The sequence below is a fragment of the Homo sapiens genome, chromosome X (genome assembly GCF_000001405.40).
Source record: "Homo sapiens chromosome X, GRCh38.p14 Primary Assembly".
Classification (NCBI taxonomy): Eukaryota; Metazoa; Chordata; class Mammalia; order Primates; family Hominidae; genus Homo; species Homo sapiens.
In genome coordinates this window covers 54,102,508-54,121,599 of record NC_000023.11, presented here as the reverse complement: position 1 = coordinate 54,121,599, position 19,092 = coordinate 54,102,508, and the positions used below count along the sequence as shown (strand labels likewise).

Genomic DNA, 19,092 nt, shown 5'->3' with positions numbered 1-19,092 from the left:
GAATCAAATAGACACAATAAAAAATGATAAAGGGGATATCACCACCGATCCCACAGAAATACAAACTACCATCAGAGAATACTACAAACACCTCTACGCAAATAAACTAGAAAATCTAGAAGAAATGGATACATTCCTCGACACATACACTCTCCCAAGACTAAACCAGGAAGAAGTTGAATCTCTGAATAGACCAATAACAGGCTCTGAAATTGTGGCAATAATCAATAGTTTACCAACCAAAAAGAGTCCAGGACCAGATGGATTCACAGCCGAATTCTACCAGAGGTACAAGGAGGAACTGGTACCATTCCTTCTGAAACTATTCCAATCAATAGAAAAAGAGGGAATCCTCCCTAACTCATTTTATGAGGCCAGCATCATTCTGATACCAAAGCCAGGCAGAGACACAACCAAAAAAGAGAATTTTAGACCAATATCCTTGATGAACATTGATGCAAAAATCCTCAATAAAATACTGGCAAACCGAATCCAGCAGCACATCAAAAAGCTTATCCACCATGATCAAGTGGGCTTCATCCCTGGGATGCAAGGCTGGTTCAATATACGCAAATCAATAAATGTAATCCAGCATATAAACAGAGCCAAAGACAAAAACCACATGATTATCTCAATAGATGCAGAAAAAGCCTTTGACAAAATTCAACAACCCTTCATGCTAAAAACTCTCAATAAATTAGGTATTGATGGGACGTATTTCAAAATAATAAGAGCTATCTATGACAAACCCACAGCCAATATCATACTGAATGGGCAAAAACTGGAAGCATTCCCTTTGAAAACTGGCACAAGACAGGGATGCCCTCTCTCACCGCTCCTATTCAACATAGTGTTGGAAGTTCTGGCCAGGGCAATCAGGCAGGAGAAGGAAATAAAGGGTATTCAATTAGGAAAAGAGGAAGTCAAATTGTCCCTGTTTGCAGACGACATGATTGTTTATCTAGAAAACCCCATCGTCTCAGCCCAAAATCTCCTTAAGCTGATAAGCAACTTCAGCAAAGTGTCAGGATACAAAATCAATGTACAAAAATCACAAGCATTCTTATACACCAACAACAGACAAACAGAGAGCCAAATCATGGGTGAACTCCCATTCACAATTGCTTCAAAGAGAATAAAATACCTAGGAATCCAACTTACAAGGGATGTGAAGGACCTCTTCAAGGAGAACTACAAACCACTGCTCAAGGAAATAAAAGAGGACACAAACAATTGGAAGAACATTCCATGCTCATGGGTAGGAAGAATCAATATCGTGAAAATGGCCATACTGCCCAAGGTAATTTACAGATTCAATGCCATCCCCATCAAGCTACCAATGACTTTCTTCACAGAATTGGAAAAAACTACTTTAAAGTTCATATGGAACCAAAAAAGAGCCCGCATTGCCAAGTCAATCCTAAGCCAAAAGAACAAAGCTGGAGGCATCACACTACCTGACTTCAAACTATACTACAAGGCTACAGTAACCAAAACAGCATGGTACTGGTACCAAAACAGAGATATAGATCAATGGAACAGAACAGAGCCCTCAGAAATAATGCCGCATATCTACAACTATCTGATCTTTGACAAACCTGGGAAAAACAAGCAATGGGGAAAGGATTCCCTATTTAATAAATGGTGCTGGGAAAACTGGCTAGCCATATGTAGAAAGCTGAAACTGGATCCCTTCCTTACACCTTATACAAAAATCAATTCAAGATGGATTAAAGATTTAAACGTTAAACCTAAAACCATAAAAACCCTAGAAGAAAACCTAGGCATTACCATTCAGGACATAGGCGTGGGCAAGTACTTCATGTCCAAAACACCAAAAGCAATGGCAACAAAAGACAAAATTGACAAATGGGATCTAATTAAACTAAAGAGCTTCTGCACAGCAAAAGAAACTACCATCAGAGTGAACAGGCAACCTACAAAATGGGAGAAAATTTTCGCAACCTACTCATCTGACAAAGGGCTAATATCCAGAATCTACAATGAACTCAAACAAATTTACAAGAAAAAAACAAACAACCCCATCAAAAAGTGGGCGAAGGACACGAACAGACACTTCTCAAAAGAAGACATTTATGCAGCCAAAAAACACATGAAGAAATGCTCATCATCACTGGCCATCAGAGAAATGCAAATCAAAACCACTATGAGATATCATCTCACACCAGTTAGAATGGCAATCATTAAAAAGTCAGGAAACAACAGGTGCTGGAGAGGATGTGGAGAAATAGGAACACTTTTACACTGTTGGTGGGACTGTAAACTAGTTCAACCATTGTGGAAGTCAGTGTGGCGATTCCTCAGGGATCTAGAACTAGAAATACCATTTGACCCAGCCATCCCATTACTGGGTATATACCCAAATGAGTATAAATCATGCTGCTATAAAGACACATGCACACGTATGTTTATTGCGGCACTATTCACAATAGCAAAGACTTGGAACCAACCCAAATGTCCAACAATGATAGACTGGATTAAGAAAATGTGGCACATATACACCATGGAATACTATGCAGCCATAAAAAATGATGAGTTCATATCCTTTGTAGGGACATGGATGAAATTGGAAACCATCATTCTCAGTAAACTATCGCAAGAACAAAAAACCAAACACCGCATATTCTCACTCATAGGTGGGAACTGAACAATGAGATCACATGGACACAGGAAGGGGAATATCACACTCTGGGGACTGTGGTGGGGTCGGGGGAGGGGGGAGGGATAGCATTGGGAGATATACCTAATGCTAGATGACACATTAGTGGGTGCAGCGCACCAGCATGGCACATGTATACATATGTAACTAACCTGCACAATATGCACATGTACCCTAAAACTTAGAGTATAATTAAAAAAAAAAAAAAAAAAAAAAAAAAGAAAAAAAGAAAAATACAAATTAAAACCACAATGAAATATCACTACATACTTACCAAAATGGCAATGGTGAATAATAGTGATAATACCATATCCCGGAGAGGATGCAGAGAAGCTGGATCACCCGTAAATGCTGGTGGGAATGTAAAATGATACTGCCATTCTGGAAAATACTTTGTCAGTTTCTTTCAAAACTAAAAATAGACTTATACAACCCAGCACTTACACTCTTGGGCATTTATATTAGAGAAATAAAGACTTATTTTCATGCAGGAACATATTCACAAGACAGCATTATGACCCCAAACTGGAAGCAACCCAGATATGCTTCAATGGGTGAATGATTAAACTGTGGTGCATTCTTGCCATGGAATATTACTCAGCAAAAAAAAGAATGTACTATCGATACATGCAGCAACATGGATGGATCTTAAGGGCATATGCTGAGTGAAAATGCCAGGTTCTTTTTTTTTTTTTTTAGATGGAGTTTCACTCTTGTTGCCCAGGCTGGAGTCCAATGGCACAATCTTGGCTCATTGCAACCTCTGCCTCCTGGGTTCAAGCGATTCTCCTGCCTCAGCCTCTCGAGTAGCTGGGATTACAGGCATGCACCACCATGCCCAGCTAATTTTGTATTTTTAGTAGAGATGGGGTTTCTCCATGTTGGTCAGGCTGGTCTCGAACTCCTGACCTCAGGTGATCCGCCCGCCTCGGCCTCCCAAAGTGCTGGGATTACAGGCGTGAACCACCACGCCCAGCCTGCCTTTGTGAATCTAAAAGATGTTGATTTTTTTGAGAATTTTGTGAAATATCTTAATATCTTTTGGTGTATCTCATTGTGTATTATAAAGCCAGATATTTACATAATTCTTCCTTGTGCTTCTTTCCTTGTTTACCCTGGTGCATCTACTGAAAAAATAAGATTCAGAGTAACTAAGAAATGTGTGACATTGGACCTTGATTTATTTCTCCAAGTTACTTTTTGTTTTTTTTTGTTTTTTTTTCAAACGAAGTCTCGCTCTGTCGCCCAGGCTGCAGTGCGGTGACTTGATCTTGGCTCACTGCAATCTCCGCCTCCCAGGTTCAAGCGATTCTCCTGCCTCTGCCTCCAGAGTAGCTGGGATTACAGGCACCCACCACTATGCCTGGCTAATTTTTTTTTTTTTTTTGGTAGAAACAGGGTTTCACCATGTTGGCCAGGCTGGTCTTGAACTCCTGACCTCAAGTGATCTACCTCAGCCTCCCAAAATTCTGGGATTACAGGTGTGAGCCACCACGCCTGGCCTTATTTTATTTTATTTTATTTTATTTTATTTTATTTTATTTTATTTTATTTTATTTTATTTTTAGAGACAGGATTTCACTCTGTCACCCAGGCTGGAGTGCAGTGGGAAGATCATAGCTCACTGCTGCCTCAAACTCCTGGGCTCAAGGGATACTCCTGCCTCAGCCTTCCAAGTCGCTGGCAGCGCATGCCACCACACCCAGCTAATTTTTAAATTTTCTGTGGAGGTGGGATCTCTCCATCTTGCCGGGGCTGGTCTTGTACTCCTGGGCTCAAGCGATCCTCCTGCCTCAGCCTCCCAAATTGCTGGGATTAAACGTGTGAACCACCACACCCAGCCCCTTGATTTCTTTATCTGCAAAATAAGCCTTTTGTTTTGTGATAATGTATCATAATAGTTCCCTCTCAGGATTTTTGTGAGGATTAATGAGATGATATATATAAAGTACTTGCATATCAAGCACTTAATAAACGTGTACTATTCCTGCTGCTAAAAATAAAAATTATTGTGACAGAAAATTAAGAGTTGAAATGCAATGGAGCCTGTCAATGTCCTGTGGCTAGCCGTAGAAATGCTGAGAGATTCTCTAGAGCCTCTTTTTCCTCAATTTCTGTTTTCCAGTTCCTTCAGTGATCCTTAAAGAGTGGTCTGCCTATAAAGGGAAGTCACCTCAAACCCCTGAGCTGGTGTCTGCACTGACATTTCGGGAATGGACTTGCCCAAACCTCAAGAAGCTCTGGCTAGGCAAAGCAGTTGAAGACAAGAACAGAAGGATGCGGGCCTTCCTGGCCTGTATGAAGTCGGACACGCCCAGTATGCTCAATCCAGCTAATGTCCCCACCCATCTGCTGCTCATGTGTTGTGTACTCCGGTAAGCTACCTGACAGGCAGGTGGCCTGTTCTTTCTCTTTTACTTTTTTTATATTTCCTTTAAGCACCTGCTTTTATGGTATTTCAAGGTGGGGAAATTTTTATTTTATGTTTGGCTTATGCGCCAGAAACACCGAAAATGATTGTTCAGACAGCCTCCTCAGTTTATGATCCTTGGTCATATCGGTCCATGCATGACTCCTCTTTTATATTTGGTTTTAGTTTAGTTTTTGTCTTGTTCAGTCCTCGTCCCTGATCCAATTTCCTTCTTTTATTCACCCATAGTCATCTACTCTTGGGTATTTGATGTGTGTCCTTCCAAGCCATCTTTCATATATTTGTTTAGACATCCATGTATTCATGCACAGCCTATAGTATTTTCTATGGGTAAACATTTTTCCTTTTATGGCATGAATGGTATTGTGCTGTACATCTCATTGTTTCTTTTTTTTCCCTTTTTTATTGAGATGGAGTTTCACTCTTGTTGCCCAGGTTGGAGTGCAATGGCGTAATCTTGGTTCACTGCAACCTCCACCTCCTGGGTTCAAATGATTCTCCTGCCTCAGCCTCCCAAGTAGCTGGGATTGCAGGCATGTGCCACCATGCCTGGCTAATTTTGTATTTTTAGTAGAGATGGGGTTTCACCATGTTGGCCAGGCTGATCTCGAACTGACCTCAGGTGATCTGCCCACCTTGGCCTCCCAAAGTTCTGGGATTACAGGCATGAGCCACCCCGCCCGGCCTGTTTCTTTTTTTCACTCAATATTATTTTTGAGGTCTGTCCATGTTCATATATCAATCGTTCCTCTTCACTGTTGGGTTATGTTCTATCAAATACTAATACTGATTGATAGATAATTGTTTCCAGTTCTTTAGTATTACAAATAGTGCTGCAGGGGATTTCTTCATAGATGTCTGTGTCTCTTTGTGTTCCTGAGTCAGTTTAAAGCATATACTGAGAAGTAGAATTTCTCGATCCTGTAAAATACGCATGTAGCTTTTTCACTAAATACTGCCAAATTGCTCTAGATTATAGCTGCACCAATTTATATTCCTGTGAACAATACGTGTTTCATTTCCTCATATTATTGCCAGTACTAATACCATAAAACTTCTTAATTTTGCCAATCTAGTGTTTTCAAGTAGTATCTTTAATTTTAATTTGCATTTGACTACAGAGGAGGTTGATCTTCTATTTTTATGCTTATTAGCCATTTGAGTTTTCTCATTCTCTGAAGTGCTTCTTTATTTGTCTTGCAAATTTTTTATTAGGTTACTTGTCTTATTTTGCTGATTACAGAAGTTCTTTGTCAGATATGTATGTGTGTACACTCAGACACACATGTAGCAAATATCTTTTCTATATTTGAGTGTGCATGCATGTGTCTGTGCATGTGTATCAGTCACAATTTGTTTAAACTTTATATATAGTGTTCTTTGTTTACCAGCAGTATTTCGTTTTTACTAGCCTTTTAAAAATTTAACTTGGCTGGGCGTGGTGGCTCATGCCTGTAATCCTAGCACTTTGGGAGGCCAAGGTGGGTGGATCACTTGAGGCCAGGAGTTCAAGACCAGCCTGGACAGCATGATGAAACCCCATCTATACAAAAAAAAGAAAAAAAATTACAAAATTAGCCAGACATGGTGGTGGGTGCTTGTAATCCCAGCTACTTGAGAGGCTGAGGCAGGAGAATCGCTTGAACCCAGCAGGCAGAGGTTGCAGTGATCTGAGATTGTGCCACTGCACTCCAGCCTGGGCAACAAAGTGAGATTCTGTCTCAAAAAAACAAACAAACAAACAAAATTAGGCTGGGTGCAGTGGCTCACACCTGTAACCCCAGCACTTTGGGAGGCCGAGGCGGGTGGATCACTTGAGGCCAGGAGTTAAAGACCAGCCTGGCCAACATGGCAAAACCCTGTCTCTACTAAAAATACAAAAATTAGCTGGGCATGGTGGTGCACGCCTGTGGTCCCAGCTACTTGGGAGGAGGGAGGATCACTTGAACCCCGGAGGTGGAGGTTGCAGTAAGTCGAGATTGTGCCACTGCACTGTAGCCTGGATGACAGAGCGAGACTCTGTCTCAAAACACAACAAAAAAAAACCAAAAAAACAAAAACAAAAAAAAACTTTATTTTTATAGATTTAAGGGGTACAGGTGTCCTTTTGTTGCATGGATATATTGTATAGTGGTAAAGTCTGGGCTTTTCACGTAGCCATCACTCAAATAGTGTACATTGTACCCATTAAGTAATTTTCAATCCCTCACCCCCTTCCCACCCTTCTGAGTCCCCAATGTGTATTATTCCACTGTCTACGTCCATGTGCACACATTATTTACCTCCCACTTATAAGTGAGAGCATGTGGTACTTGACTTTCTGAGTTATTTCACTTAAGATAATGGCCTCTAGTTCCATCCATGTTGCTGCAAAAGACATGATTTCATTCTTTTTTATGGCTGAATAGTACTCCAGTGTGTGTGTGTGTGTGTGTGTGTGTGTGTGTGTATCACACTTTCTTTAATCATTCATTCATTGATGAACATTTAGGTTGATCCCATACCTTTGCTATTGCAAATAGTACTGCAATAAACATACAGGTGCAGGCTTTTTTTTTCTTTTCTTTTTTTTGAGATGGAGTTTCGCTCTTGTTGCCCAGGCTGGAGTGCAATGGCACGATCTCGGCTCACCGCAATCTCTGCCTCCCAGGTTCAAGCAGTTCTCCTGCCTCAGCCTCCCGAGTAGCTGGGATTACAGGCATGCACCACCACGCCCGGCTAATTTTGTATTTTTTTTTTTTCAGTAGAGACGGGGTTTCTCCATGTTGAGGCTGGTCTTGAACTCCTAACCTCAGGTGATCTGCCCACCTCGGCCTCCCAAAATGCTGGGATTACAGGCGTGAGCCACCGCGCCCGGCCTGGTGCAGGCATTTTTGTTGTGGTTGTTGGATACATATTTTGCAAATATTTTCTCTCATTCTGCAGGTTGTTTGTTTACTCTTATTTCTTTTGCTGTGCAAGAGCTTTTTCATTTATGCCCCTTTGTCTATTTTTGTTTTTGTTGCATTTGCTTTTGAGGTGTTTTTTTTGAGATGGAGTCTAGCTCTGTTGCCCAGGCTGGAGTGCAGTGGCGTGATCTTGGCTCACTGCAGCCTCAGCCTCCCAGCCTCAAGCAGTTCTCCTGCCTCAGCCTCCTGAGTAGCTGGGATTACAGGTGCACGCCACCACGCCCGGCTAATTTTTTATTTTAGTAGAGATGGGGTTTCACCATGTTGGCCAGGCTGGTCTTGAACTCCTGACCTCAGGTGATCCACCCGCCTTGACCTCCCAAAATGCTGGGATTACAGGTGTGAGCCACCGCCCCCGGCCACTTTTGAAGTCTTAATCATGAATTCTTCACCTAGACCAATGTCCTGAACAGTTTTTTCTAGGTTTTCTTCTAGGATTTTTATAGTTCAGGTCTTTCATTTCAGTCTTTAATCTATCTTAAGTTGACTTTTGTGTTTTTTTGTTTGTTTTTGTTTTTTTGAGATGGAGTTTTGCTCTTGTTGCCCAGGCTGGAGTGCAATGGCGTGATCTCTGCTTACCACAACCTCCGCCTCCCAGGTTCAAGCGATTCTCCTGCTTCAGCCTCCTGAGTAGCTGGGATTACAGGCATGTGCCCCCATGCCTGGCTAATTTTGTATTTTGTATTTTTTTTTTTTTTTTGAGACAGAGTCTCACTCTGTCACCCAGGCTGGAGTGCAGTGGCACGATCTCGGCTCACTGCAAGCTCCGCCTCCCAGGTTCACACCATTCTCCTGCCTCAGCCTCCTGAGTAGCTGGGACTACAGGCGCCCGCCACCATGCCTGGCTAATTTTTTGTATTTTTAGTAGAGATGGGGTTTCCCTGTGTTAGCCAGGATGGTCTCAGTCTCCTGACCTTGTGATCCGCCCGCCTCAGCCTCCCAAAGTGCTGGGATTACAGGCATGAGCCACCGCACCCGGCCCTAATTTTGTATTTTCAGTAGAGACGGGGTTTCTCCATGTTGGTCAGGCTGGTCTCAAACTCTCGACCTCAGGTGATCCGCCCGTCTCAGCCTCCCAAAATTCTGGGATTACAGGCATGAGCCACTGCACCCAGCCTTTTTTTTGAGTGGGGTCTTGCTCTGTCGCCTAGGCTGGAGTGCAGTGGCGCGATCTCGGCTTACGACAACCTCTGCCTTTCGGGTTCAAGCGATTCTCCTGCCTCAGCCTCTCGAGTAGCTGGGATTACAGGTGTGCACTACCCTTCCCCGCTAAGTTTTGTATTTTTAGTAGAGACAGGGTTTCATTGTGTTGGCCAGGCCAGTCTCGAACTCCTGACCTCAGGTGATCCACCCACCTCAGCCTCCCAAAGTACTGGGATTACAGGCATAAGCCACCACACCCAGCCCATCTTGAATTGATTTTTGTATGTGGTGAGAAATAGGGGCCCAGTTTCATGCTTCTGCATGTAGCTAACCAGCTATCCCAATACCATTAAAAAGGTATTCTTTCCCCAGTATGTGTTTTGTCAACTTTATCAAAGATCAATTAGCTGTAGGTATGTGGCTTTATTTCTGAGTTCTCTATTCTGTTCCATTGATCTATGTGTCTATTTTTATGCCACTACCATGCTCTCTTAGTTACTATAGCCTTGTAGTAGTTTGAAGTCAGGTAATGTGACGCCTCCGGCTTTGTTCTTTTTGTGTAGTATTGTTTTGGCTACTTAAGCTCTTTTTTGACTCCATATGAATTTTAGGATTGTTTTTTCTAATTCTGTGGAAAATTATGTTGGTATTTTGATAGGAATTACATTTAATCTGTAGATTACTTTGGACAGTATGGTTATTTTCACAATATTGATTCTTCCGATCTATGGGTATGAATTGTTTATCCATTTCTTTATGTCATATATAATTTCTTTCATCTGTGTTTTGTAGTTTTCCTCGTAGAGATCCTTCACCTCCTTGGTTAAATATATTCCTAGGTGTTTTTTTTTTTGTAGCTATTGTAAATGGGATTGACTTCTTGATTTGGTTCTCAGCTTGATCATTATTGGTGTATAGAAATGCTACTGGTTTTCATACATTGATTTTGTATCCTGACACTTTACTGGGTTCATTTATCAAATCTAGGAGTCTTTTGGAGGATTCTTTAGGGTTTTTCTAGATATAAGATGATATCATCAGCAAACAGGGATAATTTCACTTTCTCTTTTCCCATTTGGATGTCTTATATTTTTTTTCTCTTTCCTGATTGCTTTGGCTAGGACTTCCAGTACTATGTTGAATAGGAGTGGTAAAAGTGGGCAAGTTACTTTTTTTGGAGACAGGATCCTGCTCTGTCACCAAGGCTGGAGTTCAGTGGCACAATCACAGCTCACTGCAGACTCAACATCCTGAGCTCAAGTGATCCTCCCGCCTCAGTCTCCTAAGTAGCTGGGACTACAGCACACACCATCATGCCCAGCTAATTTTTTTTTTTTTGAGACAGAGTCTCGCTCTGTCACCCAGTCGGGAGTGCAGTGGCTTGATCTCGGCTCACTGCAACCTCTGCCTCCTGGGTTCAAGTGATTCTCCTGCCTCAGCCTCCAGAATAGCTGGGATTACAGGGGCCCACCACCACGCCTGGCCAATTTTTGTATTTTTAGTAGAGACGGGGTTTCTCCATGTTGGCCAGGCTGGTGTCAAACTCCTGACCTCAAGTGATCCTCCCGCCTCAGCCTCGCAAAGTGCTGCGGCTACAGGCATGAGCCACTGCACCCGGCCATGCCCAGCTAATTTTTTAAAGTTTTTTTTTTAGAGACAGGCTCTCACTATGTTGCCCAGTCTTGAACTCCTGGGCTCAAGCAATCCTCCCATCTTGGCCTCCCAAAGTGCTAGGATTACAGACATGAGCCACCATGCCCAGCCAGAAAGTGGGCAAATTTTTGCCAACTTTTTATTATAATTTCATATATATAGAAAAATTAGAATAATAGTACAGTGAACACTCATAACCACCACCTAGATTCTATAATTAATATTTATATTTGCTTTACTTCATATAACTGTCCATTTATTCATCACTAGGCATTGATTTTTCCATCTTTTTTACTGCATTTCCAAGTAAATTGCAGACATCAGTATACTTCTCCCTTCACTGAGAAGTATTTATTTTGGTTCTGTCCAGCCCATGATTTTCTACCTTTATGGTGTGTGTTTTGGTGTCTTATTTAATAAATTCTCCCCTACCCCTAAGTCATAAAGATATTTTTCTGGCCGGGTGTGGTGGTTTATGCCTGTCATCCCAGCACTTAGGGAGGCCGAGATGGGCAGATCACGAGGTCAGGAGATCGAGACCATCCTGGCTAACACGGTGAAACCTCGTCTCTACTAAAAATACGGCTGTAATCCCAGCTACTCAGGAGGCTGAGGCAGGAGAATGGCGTGAACCCGGGAGGTAGAGCTTGCAGTGAGCCGAGATTGCGCCACTACACTCCAGCCTGGGCAACAGAGCGAGAATCCATCTCAGAAAAAAAAAAAAAAAAAAAAAGATATTTTTCTACGTTTTCTTATACTTCTATAATGTTGTCTTCCATATCAGGTCCTTAATACAGTAGATATTTTGTACATGCTGTGAGAAAGGATCTAACTTTATTTACATAATACACCAGTTTCCCAGCTTGATGTATTGAATGATCCTTTCTTTCCCCGACCTTTCTTATGTACCATGTTTGGTTTTTTTTTTTAGACGGAGTCTCGCTCTGTCACCCAGGCTGGAGTGCAGTGGCGTGATCTCGGCTCACTGCAAACTCCACCTCCTGGGTTCAAGCGATTCTCCTGCCTCAGCCTCCCAAAGCTGCTTCCACATTTTCAGGTATTCGTTACCAGAAACCCGCACTTCTCAGTACCAATTTTCTTTGTTTTCTTTTTTCTTTTTTTTTTTTTTATAGCCAGGGTCTTGCTCTGTCACCCAGGCTGGAGTGCAGTGGTGTGATCATGGCTCACTGCAGCCTCCACCTCCTACGCTAAAGTGATCCTCCCACCTCGGCCTCCCAAGTAGCTGAGACTACAGGGGCATGCCACCATGCCTGGCTTGTTTGTTTTTTGTAGAGATGGGGTCTATGTTGCCCAAGCTGGTCTTGAACACCTGGGCTCAAGTGATCCTCCCACACCTTGGCCTCCCAAAGTGCTGGGATTATAAGCATGAGCCACTGTGCCCTGCCTCTTAGTCTATTTTCTGTTGCTTATGGCAGAATACCTGAAACTGGGTAATTTATAAAGAAAAGGAATTTATTTCTTACAGTTATGGAGTCTAAGAAGTCCAAGGTTAGGGGGCTTGCATCTAGTGAGAGCCTTCTTGCTGGTCATATGGTAAAGGGGCTGATCACGCTCATGTGCTGTATCAGGTCTCTCTTCCTTTTCTTATAAAGCCACCAGTTCCCCTCCCATGATAACCCATTAATCCATGAATGGATTAGCCCATCTGTGAGAGTAGAGCCCTAAAGATCAAATCACATCTTAAAGGCCCTACCACTCAATACTGCCACACTGTGGATAAAGTTTCAATATGAGTTTTGGAGGGGACATTCAACCACAGCAGGGTCCCTTGTATTTACGTGTTTTTTTTTTTTGGAGACAGAGTCTCTGTCACCCAGGCTGGCTGGAGTGCAGTGGCGCGATCTCAGCTCACTGCAGCCTCCACCTCCTGGGTTCAAGCGATTCTCCTGCCTCAGCCTCCTGAGTAGCTGAGATTACAGGCGCGCACCACCACACCCAGCTAATTTTTGTATTTTTGTAGAGACCGGGTTTCACCATGTTGCCCAGGCTGGTCTTGAACTCCTGACCTCAAGTGATCCACCTGCCTCGGCCTCCCAAAGTGCTGGGATTACAGGCGTGAGCCACCGCGCCTGGCCATTATGTACTACGTTTTTATATCTGTATAAGTTCATTCATGGATTCTATTTTGTTTCACTGCCCATTAGGGTCCTCATCAATATCACATTGTTTCAGTTATTAAGGGTTTGCAATTTGCCTTAATATCAGGCAGCACAAATCTCCACTCTTTTCTTTTTTGAGACTTATACTAGTTATCCTTGCACCTTAGGAGCCCTTACTCTTCCATATATAATTTGTGATCAGTCTAGTTTCCACCAAAATCTTGTTGGGATTTTTTTTGTCATTGAATTGAATTTATAGATTAATTTGGGGAGCTTTGACATCTTTATAATGTTAAGTCCTCCCATCCAAAGATAATAGTTTACCTCTCCCATTTATTCAGGTTTCTTCCTTTATGTCTTAGTATAGTTAATTTTTTTCCATTGAGATCTCCTACATTTTAAATTAATTTCTAGGTACTTGATAGATATCGCCATGATTATGTGTGATATTCTAGTTTCTGTTATACTTTCTCATTATTAAAAAAAAGTAAGTTTTTGTGCAAAGGGGAAGTCAAGCCCTACAAGTCACCAGAGAACTGCAGAGCACTTCGCTTTCAAAATGGGCAGACCTTAGTTTGAATGCTGGTTCTGGCATTTTTCAGCTTGGATATTGTCACTTTAGCCTTTCTGAGCATCTCTTTCCTCACCATAAATGGATATAATTTTACGTCTCAGAGCAGTTTGAACATGGAGATAACATTCAGGGACCCTACCACATACTAGATCCCCAATATATACTAATTTCCTAACCACCTTAACATTAAGATTAGTGACTTACAAAGTTTTCCCAGTAAGAATAATGAGGCCGAGCACCATGGCTCACACCTGTAATCCCAGCACTTTGGGAGGCCGAGGAGGGTGGATCATTTTAGGTCAAGGAGTTCAAGACCAGCCTGGCCAACATGGTGAAACCCTGTCTCTACTAAAAATACAAAAATTAGCCAAGCAGTAGTGGCACACGCCTCTAATCCCAGCTACTCAGGGGGCTGAGGCAGGAGAATCACTTGAACCCGGGAGGCAGAGGTTGCAGTGAACCATGATCGCGTCATTGCACTCCAGCCTGGGAGACAGAGTAAGACTCTGTCTCAAAAAAAAAATTTTTTTAAAGAATAATGATAAAGATTTATTCTTCCTACTGCCTAACATGTTCCTGGGCCACAGCCCTACATTGTCCCATATTAACTCTGGAGTTGTACATTTCATTTACCTTCTTTCTAAAATATATAGTAGGCTGGTGCGGTGCCTCATGCCCATAATCCCAGCACTTTGTGAGGCTGAGGCGGGTGGATCACCTGAGGTCAGGAGTTTGAGACCAGCCTGGCTAACATGGCGAAACCCCGTCGCTAGTAAAAATACAAAAATTAGCCAGGCATGGTGGTACACGCCTCTAGTCCCAGCTATTTGGGAGGCTGAGGCATGAGAATTGCTTGAACCTAGGAGGCGGAGGTTGCAGTGAGCCAAGATTGCACCACTGTACTCCAGACTGGGCGACAGAGCAAAACTCTATCTCAAAAAAAAAAAACCAAAACAAACAAAATACATATAATAGCTCATTTTCCCATTTATTTGGTTCTCTACGTTACATGGACTAGATCCAGGAACATAAAAACAATTAAAAATAGCTTATGAATCACCACACTGTCTTCCACAATGGTTGAACTAATTTACACTCCCACCAACAGCATAAAAGCGTTACTATTTCTCCACGTCCTCTCCAGCATCTGTTGTTTCCTGACTTTTTAATGATCACCATTCTAACTGGTGTGAGATGGTATCTCATTGTGGTTTTGATTTGCATTTCTCTAATGACCACTGATGATGAGCATTTTTTCATGTTTGTTGGCTGGATAAATGTCTTCTCTTTTGAGAAGTGTCTGTTCATATCCTTTGCCCACTTTTTGATGGAGTTTTTTTTTCTTATAAATTTAAGTTCTTTGTAGATTCTGGATATTAGCCCTTTGTTAGATGGATAGATTGCAAAAATTTTCTCTCATTCTGTAGGTTGCCTGTTCACTCTGATGATAGTTTCTTTTGCTGTGCAGAAGCTTTTAATTTAATTAGATCCCATTTGTCTATTTTGGCTTTTGTTGCCATTGCTTTTGGTGTTTTAGTCATGAAGTCTTGCCCATGCCTGTGTCCTGAATGGCATTGCCTAGGTTTTCTTCTAGGGTTTTTATGGTTTTAGGTCTTATGTTTAAGTCTTTAATCCATCTTGAGTTAATTTTTGCATAAGGTATATGGAAGGGATCCAGTTTCAGCTTTCTACATATGGCTAGCCAGTTTTCCCAACACCATTTATTAAATAGGGAATTCTTTCCCCTTTGCTTGTTTTTGTCAGGTTTGTCAAAGATCAGATGGTTGTAGATGTGTGGTGTTATTTGTAAGGCCTCTGTTCTGTTGCATTGATCTATATCTCTGTTTTGGTACCAGTACCATGCTGTTTTGGTTACCGTAGCCTTGTAGTATAGTTTGAAGTCAGGTAGCATGATGCCTCCAGCTTTGTTCTTTTTGCTTAGGATTGTCTTGGCTATGAGGGCTCCTTTTTGGTTCCATATGAAATTTAAAGTAGTTTTTTTCCAATTCTGTGAAGAAAGTCATTGGTAGTTTGATGGGGATGGCATTGAATCTATAAATTACTTTGGGCAGTATGGCCATTTTCACGACATTGATTCTTCCTATCCATGACCATGAAATGTTTTTTCATTTGTTTGTGCCCTCTCTCATTTCCTTGAACAGTAATGTGTAGTTCTCCTTGAAGAGGTCCTTTACATCCCTTGTAAGTTGTATTCCTAGGTATTTTATTCTCTTTGTAGCAGTTGTGAATGGGAGTTCACTCATGATTTGGCTCTGTTTGTCTGTTATTGGTGTATAGGAATGCTTGCGATTTTTGCACATTGATTTTGTATCCTGAGACTTTGCTGAAGTTGCTTATCAGCTTAAGGAGATTTTGGGGCTGAGATGATGGGGTTTTCTAAATATACAATCATGTCATCTGCAAACAGGGACAATTTGACTTCCTCTTTTCCTAATTGAATACCCTTTATTTCTTTCTCTTGCCCGATTGCCCTGGCCAGAACTTCCAACACTATGTTGAATAGGAATGGTGAGAGAGGGCATCCCTGTCTTGTGCTGGTTTTCAAAGGGAATGCTTCCAGTTTTTGCCCATTCAGTGTGATATTGGCTGTGGGTTTGTCATAAACAGCTCTTATTATTTTGAGATACGTTCCATCAATACCTAGTTTATTGAGAGTTTTTAGCATGAAGGGCTGTTGAATTTTGTTGAAGGCCTTTTCTGCATCTATTGAGATAATCATGTGGTTTTTGTCTTTGGTTCTGTTTATGTGATGGATTACTTTTATTGATTTGTGTATATTGAACCAGCCTTGCATCCCAGGGATGAAGCCGACTTGATCGTGGTGGACAAGGTTTTTGATGTGCTGCTGGATTCGGTTTGCCAGTATTTTCTTGACGATTTTCGCATCGATGTTCATCAGGGATATTGGCCTGAAATTTTCTTTTTTTGTTGTGTCTCTGCCAGGTTTTGGTTTCAGGAAGATGCTGGCCTCATAAAATGAATTAGGGAGGATTCCCTCTTTTTCTGTTGTTTGGAATAGTTTCAGAAGGAATGGTACCAGCTCCTCTTTGTACGTCTGATAGAATTCGGCTGTGAATCCTTCTGGCCCTGGACTTTTTTTGGTTAGTAGGCTATTAATTACTGCCTCACTTTCAGAACTTGTTATTGGTCTATTCAGGGATTCGACTTCTTCCTGGTTTAGTCTTGGGAGGGGTTTTTTCTTTTTCTTTTTTTTCCCCCCCCGAGACAGAGTCTCGCTCGGTTGCCCAGGCTGAAGTGCAGTGGCACGATCTTGGCTCACTGCAACCTCCGCCTCCCAGGTTCAAGCGATTCTCCTGCCTCAGCCTCCCAAGTAGCTGGGATTACAGGTGCCCATCACTACACCTGGCTAATTTTTGTATTTTTAGTAGAGACGTGGTTTCGCCATGTTGACCAGGCTGGTCTTGAACTCCTGACCTCAGGCGATCTGCCCGCCTCGGCCTCTCAAAGTGTTGGGATTACAGGTGTGAGCCACCACACCCGGCCTCCTGTGTTTTTAAGAAGACAAAATGGTAGGAAAAAAATGCAGTTTTAACAATTAGCATAAAGTCTGGTTGGAAATTTAAATTTTAAATGAAGATTAACTTATCCTTAATACTGCATTGTCCAGCAATATCAAGTAAACACCAGGTAGGAACATTGAAGTTATAGCCTAACTGAGTGCTAGGAGCCTATACTCCTCAATTTCTTACACAAACTGTAGGTAAAAGATTCCTAGATGTCCTAGAGAAATTGAGTCTTCTAGGAAAGGTTGATACAGTTTGAGGAGGGCAGAACCTTTGCGCATACAATAGTCATCACTTAGGAGGGAGGGATACTGAAGAACTCAGTCAGGCTTCTGGAGGGGAGGTGAGGGGCAGCCCTGCTGAATGGGAGAGGCATGCATCAAGGCTTTATCATTTCTAGCAAAAATTCATTCAAATATCAACAGTTTTCCAGAGATGGAACATGAAATTGGACAAGGTTTCTCCTCTTTGTTTATGGGTAAAGTTGAGGAATCTCTCTTGAGAAGCAAATCGTTTAAGAAGCAGTGGATTCACTCTCAGCTATAACAAGATATTTGGATTAACCATGTGCCATCCCGATACATGAAGAATAAAGATACATAAGAACTAGTGTTCATTCACTTGACAGAATAATTCTAAAGTCCATCAGGAAAGGCAAATGAACAAGATTAGCTTAGAAAATGTAACAAAAATAATAATAAGATATATCTTGGTCCTGCAGCAAGACTGTTATTGGAAAAAAAAAAAAAAGAGGTGTTTTGGACCTATTACGTACCGAAGTGTATTATAAACTCATACCAAAATAATGTAGTATTATCACAAAAATTGACAGCTCATTGTTTTAGAGCAGATAATAATGAATAAGATCCTTGACACGTTAGAACTTAAAATACGCTAAAGAAAGCATCACAAATCAATGAGGAAGAGATGCATTTTTTAAATAATTATTTAGAGAATTGGATTTGTATTTGGGGAGAAAACATCCATTTAGAGCCATGCCTCACATAAATTCCAGATGGATTAATTATAAAGATGAATGTAAAAAAGATAAAAGGCAGAATAAAAGCTAAGCAATGATTTGCTGACCTTGAGATAGGAAAGGGATTTTTTTTGTTGTTCATTTCTTTTAGGAAAGGAATTTTTTAAATGAGAGTACACAAGCCTTAAGCCCAGAGTATTGTCAGAGACAGTAACTATCTTGGTGACAGGAAAGGCAAATACCTCAGTTGCCTGAGATATAGGCAAACTGAAAACTACAAAACACTGTTAAAAAAATCATAAAAGATATAAGTAAACAGAAAGATACCCCATGTTTATAGATAAGATAAAATCCTTCTTGTTGATTTCTAACTAGAAAAAAAGAATATAAAATATTGTTAAGATGGCAATACTCCCCAAATTGATCTACATATGCAATGGAATCCAAATTCCCAGCTTTCTTCTTTGCAGAAATTAACAAACTAATGCTAAAATTAATATGTAAATACAGGCTGGGCACAGTGGCTCACTCCTGTAATCCCAGTACTTTGGGAGGCCGAGGCAGGCAGATCATGAGGTCAAGAGATCGAGACCATCCTGGCCAACATGGTGAAACCCCGTCTCTACTAAAAATACAAAAATTAGCTGGGTGTGGTGGTGCGCGCCTGTAATCTCAGCTACTCAGGAGGCTGAGGCAGGAGAATCGCTTGAACCCAGGAGGTGGAGGCTGCAGTGAGCTGAGATCGCGCCACTGCACTCCAGCCAGCCTGGGTGACAGAGACTCTGTCTCCAAAAAAAAAAAACACGTAAATACAAGGGACCCTGCTGTGGTTGAATGTCCCCTCCAAAACTCATATTGAAACTTTATCCACAGTGTGGCAGTATTGAGTGGTAGGGCCTTTAAGATGTGATTTGATCTTTAGGGCTCTACTCTCACAGATGGGCTAATCCATTCATGGATTAATGGGTTATCATGGGAGGGGAACTGGTGGCTTTATAAGAAAAGGAAGAGAGACCTGA

General features: G+C 41.6%; 1 protein-coding gene across 3 annotated transcripts in view; it reads left to right on the top strand.

The window, feature by feature from the left end:
* The window catches only part of FAM120C (family with sequence similarity 120 member C), a 114,931-nt gene that overhangs the window by 61,655 nt on the left and 34,184 nt on the right, over positions 1-19,092 (top strand). For all 3 annotated transcript variants that reach the window (NM_001300788.2, NM_017848.6, XM_006724589.5), the window contains exon 10: positions 4,806-5,055. In NM_001300788.2, the coding sequence (NP_001287717.1) occupies positions 4,806-5,055 (250 nt within the window). The remainder of the gene's footprint in view (positions 1-4,805; positions 5,056-19,092) is intronic.